Genomic DNA, 22085 nt, shown 5'->3' with positions numbered 1-22085 from the left:
AGAAAGCAATCCTATTATTGTTTCGTTGTATGGCACAGTTGACCTCAAAAGGGGACATTATCTCGGTGGGCTAATCTAATACATGGGAACCCTTAAAAGCACAGAACATGGATTGTGGAGGAAGAAGAATGCCCAAGAAGAGACTCAACACAGCACTGCTGGCTTTGAAGAGGTGGCAGACACATGAGAAGAAATGCAGAAGGTCTTATGGAGCTGAGGGAGAGGGATACGGACCTTAGTCTTATAACCGCAAGGAACTGAATTCTGCCAGTGACCTGAATGAGCCAAGCAAATCCATACTCTTGACCTAGAGAATTATGAGATAATAAGTGGGTGCAGTTTTAAGCTACTCATTTGTGGCAATTTATGATGCACACATATGCTGCAAACACTTTCCTCACTTTACTGGCCTTACACTTTGAGTTCAGTTAGCTTACAGATGTTATGAAGACAATGTTTTTCTAAGTAATTTAGAAGAATAATGAGACTGACTCCAGCATTGGTAAGGATAGGGAAATGACATTGAAACATAGTGAGAATGTCAATTAACACAACTGTTTAGAAAAAGGGCAACTGAGCAATCTGTATCAAAATCTCTATAAACAGGCTTGGTCCTTAATGTAGTAATTCTATAGGAATCTATTCTAAGGAAACATTCAGAGACGTGCTCCAAGTTGCATAAAAGTATGTCTACTGAAGCATTAGTTATGGCAGTCCCAAATCAGAAATGACAGGCTAAAAAAAGAACTTGCATTGTCCTTGAGTTTTCTTCCCTTCATTAAGCCAACCCATCAGCAAGTCCTGTCAGGTATACTTCCAAATATACCCCAGAGCCACCTGCCTTATATACCACCATAGTCTACCACCTACCACCATTATTTCTTGCCTGGCTGCCTGTGTCAGCTTCTTCTCTGGGTCTGTTTTTACTCTTGTCCCTCTATAATCCATCTCTACAAAGGAGCCAGAGGGTTATTTTGTTTTTTAATGTAAACAATATGAAGTCCCTCCCTTGTAAAACCTGTCCAGTGGCTTCCCATTCTCCTGATCTTGGCCCCATGGGTTATATGCATCGGACTGTGCTTACCCCATGGTGTCATCTCCTCTGTTTCTGCTCCACTGCTGTACTGTGTTCAAACCAGTATTTGGAGCAATCCAAGCCAAGTTCATTTCTTTGTTCTTGGAGCAATCCAAGCCAAACTCATTTCTTCTGAAACAACTGCCAATACATGTGTCAAAAGTTGGAAATACTAAGGGCTGAATCCTGCTCCAATGCTCATAAGATGTGTTGCTTTGGGCAAGTCAAGCTCTTGCTGCCTCAGTTTTCTTTTGCATAAAACAGAGATACCAAGAGCATCTACCTCATTCTCTTATGAGGCTTAAAAGATATTGTTTTACATATACTTTACATTTAATGTAACTGCTCAGCCCACAGTAAAAGCTCAATAAATATTAACCATGTTAACACGTCCACTGTCAGAATATGACTGGGATTCTTCAAGAGGAAAAAAAAAAATCCGTGGTTAACCGAGTCCCAACCACGTAACTTTTCAAAACATTGATGGCTCCCATCACCCCATGGATCAAATCCAGCTTCTTAGCACATACTGGCCTTGTGATTTGGCCCTCATGTTCATCTTTTCTCCCTTCACATGCTGACATGAGTGAAACAAAAACTCCCCCACTTCTACAAGATGATTTCATAGCCCCACTGGTACCCATCGTTCCCTCTGCCATAAAAGTCAATTACCCTCAATACCACAGAACTTTTATTGGTCCTTTAAAATTTAGCTCATCAGGCATCATCTCTCTGAAAACTTTCCTTCTATCCTTCAGATTAATCACTCTTTAATGTGCTTCAGCAGATCTCAGACATACTTCTACCATTGTTTTAAAAAGATTTATGATCTGGAATGAAAAGGGCAATTAGCCCCTATCAACTGTGAGCTCCTTGAAGGCTGGGTCCACACCTCATGACATATTCCCAGTAAGTGGCACATGATGGACACTTAGATTGATTTGGGCATAAGACTCAAGTCCAAATTCTGGCCTCACCATTTCACAGATGTGTGACCCAGGGCAAGTTAGAAAATCTCCAAGCTCTAGCTTTCTCTTGTGTAAAATACAGACAATAGTATCTATTTCACAGGGTTGTTATACATATTAAATGAGAATGCTTACAAAAGTGTAGTGCCTGAGTCCCATAAGTAGAATTCAATAATTTACTATTATAACACAACTTTTGCTTCTTACTGTTGTGAAGTTACTTACTGTACATGAACTTCAGCTTCCTTACCTGCAAAATGGGGATAGCCCTTACCAATCTCATGGAATTGTTGAGGGGATTAAATAAGAGCACATGGATTAAATGCCCAGCATTTGTCTAGAATCAATGGCACTGAATAAACAGTAGCTGTATAAATGTTATTGAACTTTGCTATCCACAGGAAAAAACCAAAGGGATATTATGTGACTCCAAGGCGAAAGGAATGAAAACAAATTTTAAGAATAGAGAATAGTTGCACAAGTAATGAAAAATGAAAATTAAATTATTAAAGTAACATAGGTAGAGGATAATCTTTTCAAAATATGGTGCTAGACCAACTGGATATCAATGTGGAAAAATATAAATCTCACACCACACATAAAAAATATTTTAGATGGATTATAGATCTAAACATAAAAGGTAAACCATTAAAGCTTCTAGGAGAAAATATATGAGGATTTCTCCATGACCTTGGCATAAGGCAAAGACTTCTTAAACAAAAATCAAAAGAGCACCAAACATAAAGGGAAAAGCACTGATAAGCTAGATTACATAAAAATTAGGAATGCTTTAACAATAATTAAAAAAAACCATTAATAGGGTAAAAGGGCAAGCTACAGAGGGGAGGAAGACATTTGTAATACATATATTTAATGAAGGACTTAAATTCAGAATATATTATATAAACAATGCCAACAAGTCATAAAAAGACAAGCCAATAGAAAAATGAACAAGAGATTTGATTACCTCTTCACAAAAGATGAAATCCAAATGGCTAGTAAACTTCGAGAAAAAAAAAATTTTAATGTGGCTCATGGACTCCTGTCCCATGAGGTCAAAACTATTCTATCTCAGAAGCTATTTGCTTTTTTTTTGCTGTGTTGACATTTGCACTGACGGTGCAAAAGCAACAGTGGGTGGAACTGCTGATGCCATAGTATGACTCAAAGCAGCAGCACTAACCTGGCCGTTATTGCACCCTCCCTTACCACTCACTCACCCACATCCAGCTTCACTTTAGAATGTACTTGATGAAGAGGTATAGATTGTCAAGTTTTGTAAAATTTCAATCTTTGAATATGTCTTTTTAATATTCTGCGTGAAGTGGGAAACGGGCATAAAGCACTTTTTTTTTTTTTTTTGAGACAGGGTCTTGCTCTGTTGCCCAGGCTGGAGTACAGTAGTGTGATCATGGCTCACCACAACCTCCACCTCCTGGGCTCAAGCAATCCTCCCACCTCAGCCTCTCAAGTAGTTGGGACTCCAGGGTCACACCACCACATCCAGCTAATTTATAGAGACAGAGTTTCACCATGTTGCCCAGGCTGGAGTACAGTGGTGTGATCATGGCTCACCACAACCTCCACCTCCTGGGCTCAAGCAATCCTCCCACCTCAGCCTCTCAAGTAGTTGGGACTCCAGGGTCACGCCACCACATCCAGCTAATTTATAGAGACAGAGTTTCACCATGTTGCCCAGGCTGGTCTCAAACTTCTAGGCTCAAGCAATTCACTTGTCTCAGTCTCCTGAAGTGCTGGGATTACAGGTGTGGGCCACCACACCTGGCCTTGCATAAAGCACTTCTACTGCACACAGAGGCACAATGTTGTCATGATGAAAAGTACTTGTGCAGTTGTTCAAGCTGCTGGCTGAAGCAGTCATTTTTTCAAAGAAAACAGTTTTTTGTTTTTTGTTTTTACTTGAAAGAATGACAAACCATGCTTATTCAACTTGGCTACATAGCGGACATTTTCTCGAAAAGGATGTGAGCCCATTACTTCAAGGAAAATAATGAATGCTATTTACTGCCAATGAGAAAATTCAAGTTTTCAAGCAAAAATTAGCAATGATATTGTATAATAAGATGTGTCAACTTTGAGCAGATCTGCATATCTCAGTGAATCAGTATTTTCCAAATGACCAAAATACACGATCTTCTACAATAGTATTATACACGGGTAAAAGGTCCATTCAAATGGCATGATAGACCAGCAGATTTTGATGTAACAGATATATAACAAGTTCACTGGTATGGATTGATTCCACATTACAACTAACCCTTACAAAAACTACTACTCGTCAAGTTGGTTTAACAGTAAAGAATATCTAGAATTATTTGAAAAGGTTATTAAACTAGTCCTCTTTTTTTCCAACAACTGATATGTGAAAGGCTTCAATGAAAACAACATATCCCCTACAGACTGAATGCAGAAGCAGAAATGAGAATCTAGTTGTCTTCCATTAAGCCAGACATTAAAGAGATTTGCAAAATGTAAAAGAATGTTACTCTTCTCACTAAATTTTTTGTTTTGAAGAGATATTTTCACAGGAATTTGTTATTTATATTAACACATAATGGGCTTATTTTTAAATGAATGAATAAATGTGTATTTTGAAAATATCATTTGTAACTGCTAATGCAGTAAATATTGCTACATATAACCCATATAAGAGCTCTCTGGGGTCCTCAATAATTTTTGAGAGTGCTAGAGGGTTCCTGAGAACATAAAGTTTGAGGTCCTCCAGTGTAAGTAATATAACTCAAGGAAGTAAAAGAAAAAAAAACCTAATACACAGGGATGTTCATAGCTGTATTAATCACAAATTAGAAATGCTTGACATACCCCATAGAAGTTATATAAACCATAGCATACTAGCAAAATGAAATATCAGATACTAAAAGAGTTATGTTTGGCACTTTAGTAAATGGATTATGAAATTTAAAAAGAAAATGCAAAATGCAAACTATTTGGAACATTTAAAAATATGTAAAGATACAGATTGGTTGGGATTAAAAATGAATTCAGAATGACATAAATAAGAGCTTTATATCTAAAGATTTATTTTTAGAGAAGCTGGTTAAGCATAGAAAAAACTGTTTTTTACAAAACATGGAGCAGGATTTGGGGCATACAGTCTCCTGACTATCAGAGGACAGATGAAGCAAAAGGAAATAGGTTAGACTTATAATGATAATGAAAAGTTAGGCTGGATAAAAAAATATTTTCCTTACAGATGGTTGTTTTCAGTAATTCTTTCCTAGACTTCTCAGGAGTAGAAAAGACCTGCCCACCTCCAATCTTCCACTACAATGGAATGTCCTCTCTAGCTATACTCCTAGCCTAGACGCACCCAGTATCACAGCAGACCCAGAATCTTTTGACAAGCTGCAGCCATACATCACTACACACACAGGGAAACAAGTCTCTTTACGCTCTAGGGCAGACAATTCCAACTTTAGTTTGTATTTGGAAATTTCCAGGTGTGAGAGAGGCAAAACAAGAGTGTTTAAGGTGAGGGGTGAGACACTGGACTGTGTCCTATGGGAAGGAGCAGAGGCTGATATTTCTGCTCCGAGCGCCAGCCAAGGGTGTTCAGTGATGGGATAATTAATACTCTGCAGCAGCCAGAGAGGCCAGCTTCTGTGCTGCTTTTTGCCTCCTTCCTGCTGTGGCCTCCCCCCAAAACTGGGCATTTCAGGGAGAAAGGAAAAGGTGGAAGTGTGAGTGCCTGGTTGCTGAGCAAAGTGGTGGTGATGGGAGCTATAGTAAAGAAATCAGGGTCAACACAGCTATCTGAGCTCATGGACAAATGGGGCTGGCCAAGGAATAAGCAGGGAGTGGGGGCAGAGGCAGGTGAGGTGATTACAGAGGGGAGATCTGATAGGCTGTCAATTTGCTAGAGGCTAAGAAAAAGCCTCCTAAACATTCTGCCTCCTCTTCCAACCATCTCTCCAGTTCAGTGCCTTACTCTTGTGAAATAGATCTGCCTCAGAAAGACTTAATTGAGGAGGAGAAAGGGGATGGGCTTCTCCATAATCAGTCTACACTACATTGAATTTGTACACCACATTGCTTATTACATGAACTAACGCTGACAGGTGCAGTGGGAAAAGCATAAGCTGCTGAGTTAGACCCACTTCGGGGTAAATCCCAGTGCTCACCCTCCCAGCGAGATAACGCTGAGAAGCTACGTTACCTCCCTCAGCCACTGTCTCTTCCCCTGTAAAGTGGGGATGCCACTGATCTTCTTGTAGGGCTGTCCAGAAGATAAGCAACCATAAATTAACACACTCGGTTCACAGGCCAACGCATGGTGAACAGCCAAGAAAGGGAAATTACTTCTGTCCTCAACACAGGGTGGTGATGATGATGATGATGATGATGATGATGATGATGATGATGATAACGGAAACAATGTCCATAATGGACCTGGGCCTGGGCCTAAATACTTGCCCAACACCCGCTCTGGGCTGACACTCTCACACCTAATCCTCCATCAAATCTGTTTTGGGGGGAAGATGGTAGGTATTTAAAAAAAATAAAACAAGGTTCTCTCTTGAGAGACCCTCTACTCATTACACCTTCACATTTGTTCTCATCTTTGCCAGCTACCTGAATGGGCATCCACTGAATATTTTTTTCCAGTGACCAGTTACTAGACCACTGAATATTTACTGAATGTCAACATGTGATATCCACGATCACATTCAATCCTACAAAACCTTTGACACAGCTATAATTATTCCCAAGGTGCAGATCAGAAAACTGAGGCTTCAAGAGGCTAAATGTGCTGAGACAGGGAAAGGTGTAAGCTCAGGGTATGAACCCAGCTGATCATTCTTCAAAGCCTGTGTTCCTAATTGCCGCAAAATACTCTCCTTGACGTGGGGGGAGAGGTGGGGCAGGGAAGGAAGGGAACCAAGTCCTTCCTTCAGAGCGATATGGAGGAGGGACAAGCTCAATCTTCTGCCTGATCCTCTCCAACCCACCAGGCTCTTTAGCCAAAGGCACTGTTGCCCTCAGAATCCTTCAGTGGTTTCCAACTGTCCACAGGGAGATTCGTGTACTTCACATCAGGGGCTTCCCCAAATCTGGCCCCACCCTCCACAGCTGGTATATGCTAGGATTCCAGACAAATCATTTTTGTCCAGCTAAAGTTCAGGGACAGCCCCATGTTTTTAGACCTTGATGCCTCTAACCTACTGTTTCCTCAGCCTGGAACAACCTTCTCCCTAAAAAAAAAAAAAAATCTGTTACGTAGTAATTCAGACACATGAAAAGGCAGAAAGAGAGTTTAAGAAATAATTCCCTTTCCGGTGAAGACACAACTCAGGCAGCACTTCCAAGTAGCCTTTCCCAGGATACTCATGAAGTATCTCTGTGCTAACCTCTGTAACAGCAATTATCTCTCTAACTCACCTATTTCCCATGCCACAGGGGAAGTGCATGCCTCTAAAGCAGGGGCCCAACCCTAGGATCCCTGAACCCACAGAGAAAAACATTTGCTGAATAGAGGACTCACCAAAAATGTACAATGCACAGGTCCAAGCAATGGGTGAAAACACAGAGCAAAGAAAATATGCGCTTGAAAAAAGCCAGTAATCTTGGCATCAGACAAAAATAACTGAGTGGTGGTACTGTCAGAAGTGGGGTAAACTCCAGAGATAGAGGACCAGAGGTTTCTGCCAACCAAAACCAGGTTGGGGCAGGACTTGCTGGACCTGCAGCAGTCCAGTGCTTGGCTGGTATCCTTCTCATTTTCTGGGCCTAGTAGAATATCCACATGTTCCCCAAAGCCTCCTCAGACCAAAGACTCAGAGCCTTCACTTAGTAAAGATTCACTGAACTGAGGCCCACATCACTTCTTGGTAATTTTCTACCCTGATAAGGAGTATTGTATCCTTTCCCTTACCCTAAGTGGGGAAGCTTGACCTGGTCTCAGCAACCCACTTAACGACCCCTGCCTGGCTCTAGCTCCACTGCCTGTCCTTCCAGGGCTCTGCACAGGACAGGCTTTCAGGCTAAGATGCCCTTTCTGCCCTACTCTCTGTCTGGCTAACATCTCCTCCTTATTCTTTAGGAGCCTGCTTAGTGGTCAGTCCCTTCCTTGGGGAAGCCTTCAGGTAAGGCTCAGATTCCTTTTCCTATGTGCTCCCAGTCCATTGCTCATCCCTGACTAGGTATGAGCGAGCAGGACAAAAGGCCTCACTGGCCTTTATGAAACACTCAGGGCTAGATCCACTGTCCCCCTACACAGAACTGAATAAATACCATGGACTTAAGAATCTAAGTGGCTCTTCAGCATCTAAATTTTAAAAACCCTTTTATTGTTAAATAATTAAAGATTCACAGGGGCCCAGGAACAGGGGCTTATGCCTATGATCCCAGCCCTTTGAGAGGCTGAGGTGGGCAGATCACTTGAGGGCAGGATTTTGAGACCAGCCTGCCCGACATGGTGAAACCTCGTCTCTACTAAAAATACAAAAATGAGCTGGGTGTGGTGGCAGGCATCTGTAATCCCAGCTACTCAGAAAGCTGAGGCAGAAGAGTTGCTTGAACCCGGGAGGCGGAGGCTGCAGTGAGCCGAGATCGCACCACTGCACTCCACACTGGGTGACTCTGTCTAAAAAGAAAAAAAAAGATTCACGGGGGTTGGAAAAACAGCACAAGAGGTTCCAATATACTTCACTCAGTTTCCTCTAATAGTTAAACCACCACAAAGATCTCTCTCATGCTACTCCCCTTAATAACCACACCTACAGCCCTGCCCTCATAACCCCTGGCAACCACTAATCTGTTTAGCGCCTCTATAACTGTGTCATTTTAAAAATGTTATGTAAGTGGAATCACACAATATGTGACCTTTTGGGAATGGCTTCTTTCACTCAGCATAATAACTCTGATTAACCAAATTGCTGTGTTTCAACAATTCATTCCTTTATGCTGCCGAGTGGTATTCCACAGTATGGATAAACCACGGTTCCTTTAACTATTCATCACTGGAGGAGGCACATCAGATTATTTCCAGCTTTTGGCTATTACAAATAAAACTCTTCTGAACATCTGTGTACAGGTTTTTCTGTGGGCACAATTTTCATTTTTCTGAGATAAATGTTCAGGAGTGTGATTCCTGGAGCTAACTATTATGTACACGTTTAGTTTTTTAAGAAACTGCCAAATGATTTTCCAGAGTAGCTGTAACATTTGACATGCCCACCAGCAGTGTACATGATCCAGTTTTTCTGCACTCTCTCTAGAATTTAGTATCATCACTATTTTTAATTTTGGCTATTCTAATAGGTGTGAAACTCCCATTGTGGTTTCATTTGCATTTCACCTAGCTTAATGGCTAACAATGCTGAGCATCTTTTCATTGCTTCTTTGCCATCTGTACATCCTTCTCAGTGTACTACCTCTTCATATCATTTTTCCATTTTTTTCTTTTTTTGGGGGGGACGGAGTCTTGCTCTGTCACCCAGGCTGGAGAGCAGTGGTGCCATCTCGGCTCACTGCAACCTCCGCCTCCCGGGTTCAAGTGATCCTCTGCCTCAGCCTCCCGAGTAGCTGGGACTACAGGCATGCACCACCACACCCGCTAATTTTAGTATTTTTGAAGAGACACGGTTTCACCATGTTGGCCAGGCTGATCTCGAATTCCTGGCCTCAGGTGATCCAACCACCTCAGCTTCCCAAAGTACTGGGATTACAGGCATGAGCCACCATGCCTGGCCTTCATTTTTCCATTTTCTAATTGGATAGTTTCTTAAGCTGTTGATTTTGAGAGTTCTTTATCTAGATATGAATCCTTTGTTGAATATATGGTTTCCAAGCATTGCCTCCCAAACTGTAGGTTATGCTTCTATCCTCTTAACAGGGTCTTTCACAGAGCAAAAGTTTTAAATTTCAATGAAGTCCAATTTAGCATCTTTTTAAACACTGTGCATTTAGTGCTGTATCTAAGAACTCTTCACCAAGCCTGAGACACTGAAGATTTCCTCTTGTGTTTTCTTCTAGGAGTGCTGTGGTATTGTATGTTACATTTAAATCAATGATCCACTTTGAGGTCATTTTTATAGAAGGTTAAGGTCAAGGGTCATATTTTTGCTTGTGATTATCCAATTGCTCCAGCATCATCTACTGAAAGACATTCTTTCCTCCATTGACTTGTTTTTGCACCCTTGTCAAAAGTTGGCTGGTCTTAGTTCTGTGTTCACTATTCTGTTCTACTTATCTATATGTCTGTCCCTCTGCCAATTCCACCATCTTGATTACTTTAGCTATATAATTAGCCCTAATATTGGGTAGAATGATTTCTTCTACTTTATTCTTTTAAAAAATTGTTATAGCTATCTTAGATTCTTTGCCTTTCCATATAAATATTATCTGCTGTATCTTGCTATATCTGCAGAAATTCTTGTTGGGATTTTTGATAGGAATTGCATTAAAATAGTGTATCAATTTGTGGAGTATCTGACATTTTTACTATGCTGATTTTTTAATCCATGAATATGTTATGTCTCTCCATTTATTTAGATCTTCTTTGATTTCTTTCACTAGCATTTTGTAGTTTTCAGTATAAAAATCTTATACAAGTTTTGTTAGAATTATACCTGCTGGAGAGGATGTGGAGAAATAGGAACACTTTTACACTGTTGGTGGGACTGTAAACTAGTTCAACCATTGTGGAAGTCAGTGTGGCGATTCCTCAGGGATCTAGAACTAGAAATACCATTTGACCCAGCCATCCCATTACTGGGTATATACCCAAAGGATTATAAAACATGCTGCTATAAAGACACATGCACATATATGTTTATTGCGGCACTATTCACAATAGCAAAGACTCGGAACCAACCCAAATGTCCAACAATGATAGACTGGATTAAGAAAATGTGGCACATATACACCATGGAGTACTATGTAGCCATAAAAAATGATGAGTTCACGTCCTTTGTAGGGACATGGATGAAGCTGGAAACCACCATTCTCAGCAAACTATTGCAAGGGCAAAAAACCAAACACTGCATGTTCTCACTCATAGGTGGGAATTGAACAATGAGAACACTTGGACACAGGAAGGGGAACATCACACACCGGGGCCTGTTGTGGGGTGGGGGGAGGAGGGAGGGATAGCATTAGGAGAAATACCTAATGTTGAATGATGAGTTAATGGGTGCAGCACACCAACATGGCACATGTATACATATGTAACTAACCTGCACGTTGTGCACGTGTACCCTAAAACTTGAAGTATAACAATAAAAAAAAAAGAATTATAGCTGAGTTATTTTAGTTTTTGTTTTGTTTTGTTTTGGGAAGGAGTCTCGCTCTGTCGTTCAGGCTGGAGTGCAGTGGTGTGGCGCGATCTCAGCTCACTGCAACCTCTGCCTCCTGGGTTCAAGCAATTCTCCCACCTCAGCCTCCCGAGTAGCTGGGATTACAGGCGTGCGCCACCACACCTGGCTAATTTTTCTATTTTTAGTAGAGACGGGGTTTCACCATGTTGGTTGGCCAGGCTGGTCTCGAACTCCTGACCTCAGGTAATCTGCCCTCTTCGGCCTCCAAAGTGCTGGGATTACAGGCGTGAGCCATTGTGCCCAGCCTATCTGAGTAGTTGTTGAACAACTATAAACAGTACTGTATTTTAAATTTCGTTCCACGTGTTTATTGCTAGTATATAAAAATACAATTAACTTTTGTATGTTAATCTGGTATCTGGCAACCTGGTCAAACTTATTTTTATTATTATTTTTGGTAGATTCCTTGGGATTTTCTATGTAGATCATTATGTCATCTGCATATATAAACTGGTTTATTTCTTCCTTCCTTATCTGTATGATAATTCTTTTTCTTGTTTTAATGTGCGGGCTAAAACTTCTAGTATTATGCTGAATAAGAGTGGTCAGAGCGGTTATCCTTGCCTTCTTCCTTAGGGGGAAGGCATTCAGTAGCTAATTTTAAATAAATCACGTTTGCTGGTATGATGATGAGTCCTTAAAATATTGTTTAGGTACTAACAAACCACTCTTCAGCTGAAGAAAAAATATTAAAAAGAAAAAAAAAGCCCCAGTCATGGGCAGTTATTATCAATTCTCTTGGACTATGGTTTGATCTGAAGGAAATAATTTCTATCATTATATATTCATGTTTCCAATTAACCCAAGTCTAGGACTTTTGTAAAATACCCATTTTTTATAGCTTTATTGAGATACATTTCACTTATAAAATTCAACCAGCTAACATGTATAACGCATGGTTTTTAGATGTTCACAGAATATGCAAATGTTCTAATTTCAGAACATTTTCTTCACCCCAAAAAGAAACCTGGTACCCATTAGCAGTCTCTCCTCATTCCTGCTTTCCCATCTTCCACCTCCACCCTGGCAACCATTAATCTGCTTTCTATCTCTATAAAGTTGCCTATTCTGGACATTTCACATAAATAAATCATATATAGTCTTTTATGACTGGCTTCTTTCACTTAACGTGATGTTTTAAAGGTTCATCCACATTATAACAAATCCTTCATTTTTATTGCTGTAATATCCATATTCAGTTGTAAGCATATATCATATTTGCTATTCATCAAATGATAGACATTTAGGTTGTTCTTACTTTTTGGCTATTGCAAATAATACTATTTCTTGGTTTGGATTTCCATTTCCCTAATGACCAATGTTGTTGCACACCTTTTCTTGTGCTCATGGACTATCTGTACATCCTCCTTGGAGAAATATCTACTCAAATCCTTTGAACATTTTAAAATTGAGTTTTCTTTTGTATTGTTCAGTCGTAAGAGCTCTTTATATATTCTGGATACAAGCTTCTTGTCAGATATCTGATTTGCAAATATTCTCTCCCATTCTTTGGGTTATCTTTTCAGTTTCTTGATACTATCCTTTTATGCACAAAATATTTTAATTTTGACAAAGTTTGATTTGTCTATTTTTTCTCGCTGCTTGTGCTTTTAACCTCCCAGGTATTGTGTCTAAGAAACCACAGTCTAACTGAAGGTCAGGGAATAAGACTACCCAAGGTAGACTTATTTCTAGGTCTAGAAATTTTATAGTTCAAGCTCTTACACTCAGGTGTGTGATTCATTTAGAGGTAATCGAGGAAGGGACCCAACTTCATTCTTTTGCATGTAGATATCCAATTGTCCCAGCACCATTTGAAAAGACTATGGTTTCTCTACTAAATTGTCTTGGCAACCTTGCTGAAATCAATTCCCTATGAATGTATGGGTTAATTTCTAGACTCTCAATTCTATTTCCTTGCTCTATATGTTTATCCTAATGCCAGTGCCACACGGTCCTGATGATTGAAGCTTTGTAATAAGTTTTGAAATAGGGATCTGGAAGTCTTTCAACTTTGTTTTTCTTTGAGATTGTTTTAGCCATTCTGGTTCCCTTGCATTTCTACCTGAATTTTAGGATCAGCTTGCCAATTTCTGGGGGGGAAAAACCCAAAACCTGCTGGGATTTTCACTGGGATCGCACTGAATAGGTAGATCAAGTGGGGAGTATGGCTAATATTAATTCTTCCTAGCCGTGAGCACAGAATGTCTTTCCTTTACTTAAATCTTTAATTTCTTTCAACAATGTTTTACAGTTTTCACTGTACAAATCTTACACAATTCTTTCCCAAATCTTTCACAATTCTTCTTTTGTTAAATTTATTTTTACGTATTATATTCTTTTGGGGGTTGTTATAAATGGGATAATTTCATTAATTTTTAGATTGTTCATTGCTAATGTACAGAAATACAACTGATTTTTATCGTTTTTTTTTTTTTGAGATGGAGTCTCGCTCTGTTGCCCAGGCTGGAGTGCAGTGGTGCAATCTCAGCTCACTGCAAGCTCTGCCTCCCGGGTTCACGCCGTTCTCCTGCCTCAGCCTCCTGAGTAGCTGGGACTACAAGCACCTGCCACCACACCCAGCTAATTTTTTGTATTTTTAGTAGAGACGGGGTTTCACCGTGTTAGCCAGGATATCAATTTTATATCCTGCCACATTGCTGAACTTGCTTAGTTCTGTTTTTCGGAGGATTCCTTAGGATTTTCTGTATACAAGATATCACGTCATTGACAAATAGAGGTATTTTTACTTCCTACTTTCTAATCTGGATACCCCTTATTTTTCTTGAGTGATTGCCCTGGCTAGAATATCAAGTACAATGTTATATAAAAGTGGCAAAAACAAAAGCAAACATGCTTGCCTTGTTCCGGATCTTAAGAGGAAAACACTCCATCTTTCTCCATTAAGGAGAATGTCAGCTGTGAGCTTTTTGTAGATGCTCTTTATTGGCTTTAGAAAATTCCCTTCTATTGTTGTTTTTTGTTGTTGTTCTTTTCGTATGTGTGTTTTCTGACACAGTCTCGCTCTGTTGTCCAGGCTAGAGTGCAGTGGCGTGATCTCGGCTCACTGCAACCTCCACCTCCCAGGTTCAAGCGATTCTGCCTCAGCCTACCGAGTAGCTGGGATTACAGGCATGCACAACCATGCCCAGATTATTTATATATTTTTAGTAGAGACAGGGTTTCACCATGTTGGCCAGGCTGATCTTGAACTCCCGACCTCAAATAATCCACCTGCCTTGGCCTCCCAAAGTGCTGGGATTACAGGGGTGAACCACCATGCCTGGCCCCTCCTATTGCTGAATTTGTTGTTTTTTTATTTGCTTTTGTTTGGTTTTGTTTTTTTTTGTTTGTTTTTGAGACAGGGTCTCACTTTGTTGCCCAGGCTGGAGTGCAGTGGTGTGATGACAGCTCACTGCAGCCTTGACCTCCCAGGTTGAAGTGACCCTTTCACCTCAGCACCCTAAGTAGCTGGGACTATAGGTATATGCCATCAAGCCTGGCTAATTTTTAATTTTTTTTGTAAAGACAGGGTCTCACTATATTTCCCAGGCTAACTGAATGCTCCTGTCATGAAAGGGTGTCAGACTTTGTCAAATGCTATTTTTCTATCGAGATGAACATGTAGTTTTTATCCTTTGTTGTATTTTTTTTTTTTTTTTTTGAGATGCAGTCTCTGTTGCCCAGGCTGGAGTGCAGTGGCGCCATCTCAGCTCCCTACAACCTCCACCTCCCGGGTTCAAGCGATTCCTGTGCCTCAGCCTCCCAAATGCAGGGATTACAGGCATGAGCCACCGGGCGCCTGGCCTCCTTTGTTCTATTGATATGGTATCTTAACACTGATTTATTTTCAGATGTTAAATCAATCATTCCTGGAATCAATTTCACTTGGTCATGTTATATAATCCTTTGTATATGTTGCTGGATTTGGTTTGTTAGTACTTTGTTAAGGGTTTTCATATCTGTATTCATAAAGGATACTGGCTTGTAGTTTTCTTGTCATGTCTTTGGTACTGGTTATCAGGATAATACTAGCTTCACAGAAGAAGCTGGGAAGTATTCCCTCCTCTTCTATTTTTTGGAGGACTATGTGAAGAACTGGTATTAATAAAAACTCCTTATTAAGGAAATTTTTTAACATACCAAAAAATAGTAAGAATAGTATCATGAGTTCCTGTGTGTATTCCCGCCTAACTTCAATAATTATCAATAGTCCACCATTCTTATTTTACTTATACTTCCCCTCCCCAACACCTTACTCTTTTGGCGGGGGCTGAAATTATTTTAAAGTAAATCCCAGACATATCATTCACCTTTAAATACTTCAATGTATATCTCTAACAGATAAAGACTTTTTTTAACATAAGCAGAATTATTTCACCTAACAAAACTGGCAGTAATTCATAATGCTATCTAATACCTGGTCAATGCTCAAATTTCCCCAAATGTTTGAAAAATAATTTTTTGAATTAGTTTGAATCAAGATCCAAACAAGGTCCAACACTGCATTTTAGTTGGTATGACTCTTTCCACAAGAGCCTCCTTTTCTCCCTTTTCTCCCCATGCGATTAATTTATTTGTTGAAAAAACAAGGTCAATTTATCCTATATAATTTTTCCATATTCCAATTTTGGATGTTGTATCCTCATGCACCTGTTTGACTCATTCTTCTGTCCTTCATATTTTTAAACTGGGAGTTAGATCTAGATTGAGGTTGCTGTGAACTTACTATTGCATAATATTAGAAAACAGTATCTGGCTATCCCACTTTTAGCGTTAAGATTAACCAATGGGTTCAGATGCTACTCGCCAGATCCACCTAATATAAAGTCCCCTATCGACCTTTACTTAATAGTTTTATCAACCATTGACAATTTGTGACTAGGTACATTATTTCAGCAGAAGTTGCAACATGGTGATTTTCTCATTCTCTCAGTTCTTCCAAGGCTAGGATTTTTACTTTCACAATTCTATACTCTACGTCTATGATTCCCAAATAGGGAAGCATAGCCTCCAGGTGCCATAGTGCAAGCCCTGGGGTCATTTTTGCTTGTCATAGTAGTTGGAGGGCGTTCTTGGCATTTACAGGCAGAGACCAGAGATGCTGGATGTTCTACAATTCATAGTAGAGTTTCACGAAATGAAGAATGACCTGCATCCCACACAATTTTCAAATGTCTTGTTAGATACTCATGGAGGTGTAAAGCCTAAATAAATTATCTGAATGTAAGGCCATTTTATATATGAACACTAAGTATTTTTTTCTACTACTTTAAAACAAGCACATTTTTCCAGGAATGTAACTATGGTATAACTGAAGAAACAATATTCAATCACTATTTTGTTTGCAATTCTCCTAACAGCTGTTTACCATTTCAAAAAAGTCATGTTAGTAACAGCAACAGAGTTTTGTGGTATTTGAGTTGTTGACATAATACATCTATATACAACAGCCTTTGTCACTGTTGAATTCAAGATAATTCCACATACAGGTGTAAACATCCATGCTCTCCAGTGTACTCAGGCACCTACGCATGGAATACACATCATCATCTTATCAATTACTCTCTTTTTCTAATTTATGTTATAGTTAGGACTTTATACTGATTTCCTCTGAAATGTGCATGAGGTAAGTTAGAATACCTATGAATTCCATTTCAATATAGTAAGGGATATTTCACAGAATACTTGTTTTGAAATGGGCATTGGGTCTAATAAAGCTGAGAATTACTATTTACTTTAGGTCTAAAATTTTTTCCCAACTTGACTTCTGACCAGGGCTTATTCTTAAATCTTTCCACCATGGAAAGGTGGTTAGATCACATCTGTTTACATCACAGCCAGAGCACTGTGCAGGGAGTAAGGACACCTAGACCCCAGCCCTGGCTCTGCCTCTTTATTAGTGGCTGGCGAACTCAGGCAGGTCATCTTATCTCTATTCCCTTTGGTAAAATAAGATATATCAGACAAGCCATTTTCAACCTTTTCAACCACTTTTTCTTATTCTCCATTCTCTTCACAGGACTCAATATTTTTGGTAAAGATTTTGCCAAAGAGATACGCCAATCATTACTTGGAATAATTAAACTGATTTCCCATTTTTAGCTAACTAAAGGCATATAATTGCAAACCAGAATAAAATAACAATGGTAGTCTACATTTATTAAGTGCTTATTCATGTCCCTCACAGTGAACTCTGTCCCTTATCCCTACCAACAGTATGGTATCACAGTACGGGCTCCAAACTGAGAAGTGCTGTCTCAGCTAGAGACTAGGGTCCCCTGGTCCTTGTCTCCTCCCTCTGAGCAGAAGTCTCCAGTCCTAATGCTGCCATCCTAATCTGCAAAAACCTTGGAATGTGACTCACTCACATCCCATGCTATTTTGGAAAACTTCTGAACTTGATAGTGAGATTGGGGGACTACAATGAAATGAAATGGGCAAGACACTGGGACTGCATCTCCTCTGGGCTAGTACCTCTACATGTTTACATTTTCTCAGAAAGACTGGCCCAGGGCCCTGTCTAGACAAAAAGCTCTGGAATGAATTAGCTGTGAATTACCTGGGCAGCAACCTTAGACTACTGCACATAAGCCCCAGAGGCACTGATCCTTGGACAGACTCAGGGGCTCTGTGTGGCCCCTAGAAAGAAATCAGGCAGGCTTAGGATTTTGGGTAATTAGGGTGACTAGTAGCAGTTCAAGAACTCACTGCTCCACTTACGTCTCCACTTTCTAACTCCATGCACCCCAAGACACTGATCATTTTGTTGAAAACACATACGGGCCAGGGATGGGGTCAAGTGGCAGGATGGGGATAGCTGGCTGGAATCCCTCTACAGAAGCATGGGCTTCCCGCTAGGCACTCTGTACTCACCAGGGAGGCTGCCGACTGGTGTGTGGGTGGTGTGGAGGAATCCGGAGTGGGTCCACCTCTCTGGCGGTAGCAGGGGGGAACTCCCGGTGGGGACTGCTTACATTAGCCTTTTCCCACTGCTCATGGATAGGTGTGATGATTCCAGACACAATACGAGACCGAAGCTCCTCACTGTTCTTGTAGGTCCTGCAGGAAGCAGATGAAGAGTCAACTGCTTGCAGTTGGCTAGGAACCCTGGAAGTGGTATTCTGGCTGCAACGACGGCGGCGGCGGCGGCCCTGATAGCTCCTGGCATTGCGCTTGGCCTGTTTATAAGTGGGGGAACAGGCCGCCTGCTGGACCTGGGTGAGGGGGGCAACAGCCCCACGCTGTCTCTGAGATTTGGGCCCAAGCTTCTTAGGCATCTGAGTTGCCCCTCCTTGTTTACCACCCCATTAGAAAGAGGTGAGGGTGTAGGGGCACAGGGCCTGGATTGGCTACTCCTCTGTCCTCACCCGCCTCACCCCTCCCTCAGCTTCATTGTGTGTTCATCACGTGTCATGGGAAGGGTCATGGAAGGCAAAGGCTCCATGGGGAGGATGAACCAGGTTCCTGTTCCAGGCAGGCAGAGCTCTGGGGGTTCAAGGTCCAGTTCTGTCACTAACTCAGGGGTCCTCGGAAGGCTGCCCCTACCACCTGTCCCATCCTGCCTGGGCCTCTTTTTCTATGCCTGTGAGAGACAAGTGACGTGAGCCACAGCTGAGGTGTGGAGGCAGGCTGAGGTAACAGAGTGGGCAGGACTCCAGGCTTCCTAAAACACTGGTATTTTAAAATGAACCACATCCTGGCCCATAAAGCAAAGCTCACAAATGTAAAATAACTGAAATCATATAAAGTATGTTCTCCAACCATATGGAATCATAACAGAAATCAAAACAAAAAGTTAACTCTCTAAATACATGAAAATTAAGCAACATACTTCTAGAAAATCCTTGGATCAAAGTCACAAAAAAGAAATATATAGCACTGAATTAAAATGAAAATAAAAACATACGAAAATATGTGGGATATAACTAAAGGATTGCTGAGAAGAAACCTCATAGCACTAAATGCTTACATCAAAATAGAGGAAGGAATTCAAATCAATAACCAAAATTCTGACCTAAAGAACCTAGAAAAAGAAGAGCAAATTAACTCAAAGCAAGCAGAAGTAATAAAGGTAAGAACAGAAGTCAATAAAAAAGAAAAACAAGAGAGAAAATGAAACAAAGTCAATTCTTCAAAAAAAAAGAATAAAACTGACCAACTCCTGGCGAGACTGACAAATACAAAGAGAGGACACAGTCACCAATAACAAGAACGAAACAGGAGATATTACAATAGATCTGTAGCCACTGAAAGGATAATAAGAGAATACTAAGAACAACTTAATCCAACAACTCAGAATAGACCAATTCTTAAAAACCATAAACTACAACTCAGCCAAAATGAAATAGATAATCTGAATAGTTCCATTAAAGAAACTGAATTACACTTAACATTCTAAAAAAATAAAATAAAAAAACAAAAACCAAAAATCTCCAGGCTCAGATGATTTCAGGAAGAATTCTACCAAACATTCAAAGAAGAATTAACACCAATTTTACAGTCACTTCTAGAAAATATATGAGGAGGGAATACGTTCCAATCCATTTCATGAGACCAGTATTACTCTGGTATCAAAACCAGGCAAAGACTACACCAAAAAAAAAAAAAAAATATATATATATATACACATATATAGACTAGTATATCCTATGAACTTACACACAAAAAAAATCCTCAACAAAATATGAGCAAATTGAATTTAAAAATGTATAAAAAGAACTATATGCCATGACCAAGTATGATTTGTTCTAGGCATGCAAGACTGGTTAATAGTCACAAATCAATCAACGTAATCTACCATATCAATAAGCTATGGAAGAAAAATCATATGATCATATCAATTGATACAGAAAAAAGCTTTTGACAAAATCCAACATGATAAATCCATTCAAGATTAAAAACTCTCAACAAACTAAGAATAAAGGGGAACTTCTTTAACCTGATAAAGAACATTTACAAAAAACCTACCCCTAACAATATACTTTACTGTGAAAGACTGAATGCTTTGCTCCTAAGATTGGGAACGAGGAAAGCATATTCTTTCTCATCACTCTTATTTAACATAATATTGGACATCCTGACCACTGCAATAAGGCAAGAAAAACAAAAGGCATTCATATTAGCAAGTAAGGAATAAAACTGTCCCTATTTGCAAATGACATGATAGTCTACCCTGAAATTCCCAAGGAATCTACCAAAAAAAAAAAAAAACAAAAAAACCCTAAACACCTTGAATTCAGCAAGGTGACAGGATAGAAGAGTTCAACACAGGAAAATCAACTACATTTCTACACACTAACAATGAACATTTGAAAACCAAAACAAAGGACAGAATATGCCATTCATAATCATCTCCCTTTCTGCTTTAAACAAATAACAAGCTATGTACAGGATCTATATGTTGAAAATTACAAATGATACTGATGGAAATCAAATAAAACCTAAATATTAATAAATGGAGAGATAAGATATATCATGTTCATAGCAAGAATGTCAATTCTCCCCAAACTAATCTATAGGTTTAATGCAACTCCTATCAAAATCCTAGCAAGGTTTTTCATAGATATACACAAGCTTACTCTAAAGTTTATATGAAAAGGCACAGAGGCCAGGTGCGGTGGCTCACGTCTGTAATCCCAGCACTTTGGGAGGCTAAGATGGGTGGGTCACGAGGTCAGGAGATCGAGACCATCCTGGCTAACATGGTAAAACCCCGTCTCTACTAAAAATACAAAAAATTAGCCAGGCATGGTGGCACGCATCTGTAGTCCCAGCTACTCAGAAGGTTGAGGCAGGAGAATCACTTGAACCCCGGAGGCAGAGGTTGAAGTGAGCCAAGATCACACCACTGCACTCCAGCCTGAGCCTTTTTGAGACACAGTGAGACTCTGTCTCAAACAAAGAAAAAAAAAAAGAAAGAAAAAAGAAAAAAAAGAAAAGGCACAGAACCTAGAATAGCTACAACTACCTTGACGAAGAAAAAGTGGGAGGAATTATTCTACTCAATATTAAGGCCTACAATAATCAATACTGATAGAGTAATATTGACAGAGGAAGAGACATAGAGATCAATGGAAAAGAACAAGGGATCCAGAGATAGATCCACAGATGTACAGACAACTGATTTTTGACAAAGTTTCAAAAGTAATTCAATGAAGGAATAACAAATGATGTTGGGGCCATTGGACATCCATGGGTAAAAAATGAGCTGCTTGCCTGCCCAAGCTGGGTGGGAGGGTAAATTCAAGTCTTCTTTCCTTTTAATCAGATCAGAGGGAGGCCTCTGATCTCCCTAGGCATGTGTAAAATTCAGGCCTGATTAAAAAACCACCAGGTCCTGAAGGAGAAGTTCTCACACAATTTCTAAGCCTTGAAAGAACAACTGCCATTTTGGTTGTGGCAAAAGACAGCCTACCATCTCATCCGACACAGAAAGGGTACAGCAGAATGGAACACAATAGGTTTATATTTCTTAGCAAATCACAGTTTGCTCACTGAGGAGCACAAATTGCTGGAAGAGGCAAGACATGCCACAATGACCTAATAAAGAGGGCTACATGGAGGAAGCTATGGCTGAAAGGCATAGGAGGGAGACAGGGCCTCTGATCAGGAGGCAGAGCCATACCTCAGCTTTCACCGCCCATTTCCACGGAGATGACTCCTGGTGATCACATTTTTTTC

The 22085-nt window shown here is 40.1% G+C and overlaps 1 protein-coding gene across 6 annotated transcripts in view; it reads right to left on the bottom strand.

The window, feature by feature from the left end:
* Positions 1-22085, bottom strand: part of PSMF1 (proteasome inhibitor subunit 1) — a 58984-nt gene that overhangs the window by 18662 nt on the left and 18237 nt on the right. For all 6 annotated transcript variants that reach the window (NM_178578.4, NM_001323407.2, NM_001323409.2 and 3 more), the window contains one exon: positions 18279-18464. In NM_178578.4, coding sequence (NP_848693.2) covers positions 18279-18464 — 186 coding nt within the window. The remainder of the gene's footprint in view (positions 1-18278; positions 18465-22085) is intronic.

The sequence above is a fragment of the Homo sapiens genome, chromosome 20 (assembly GCF_000001405.40).
Source record: "Homo sapiens chromosome 20, GRCh38.p14 Primary Assembly".
In the NCBI taxonomy this organism is placed as follows: domain Eukaryota; kingdom Metazoa; phylum Chordata; class Mammalia; order Primates; family Hominidae; genus Homo; species Homo sapiens.
Note: the sequence above shows the minus strand (reverse complement) of the source record. Positions and strands in the feature narration are given on the sequence as shown.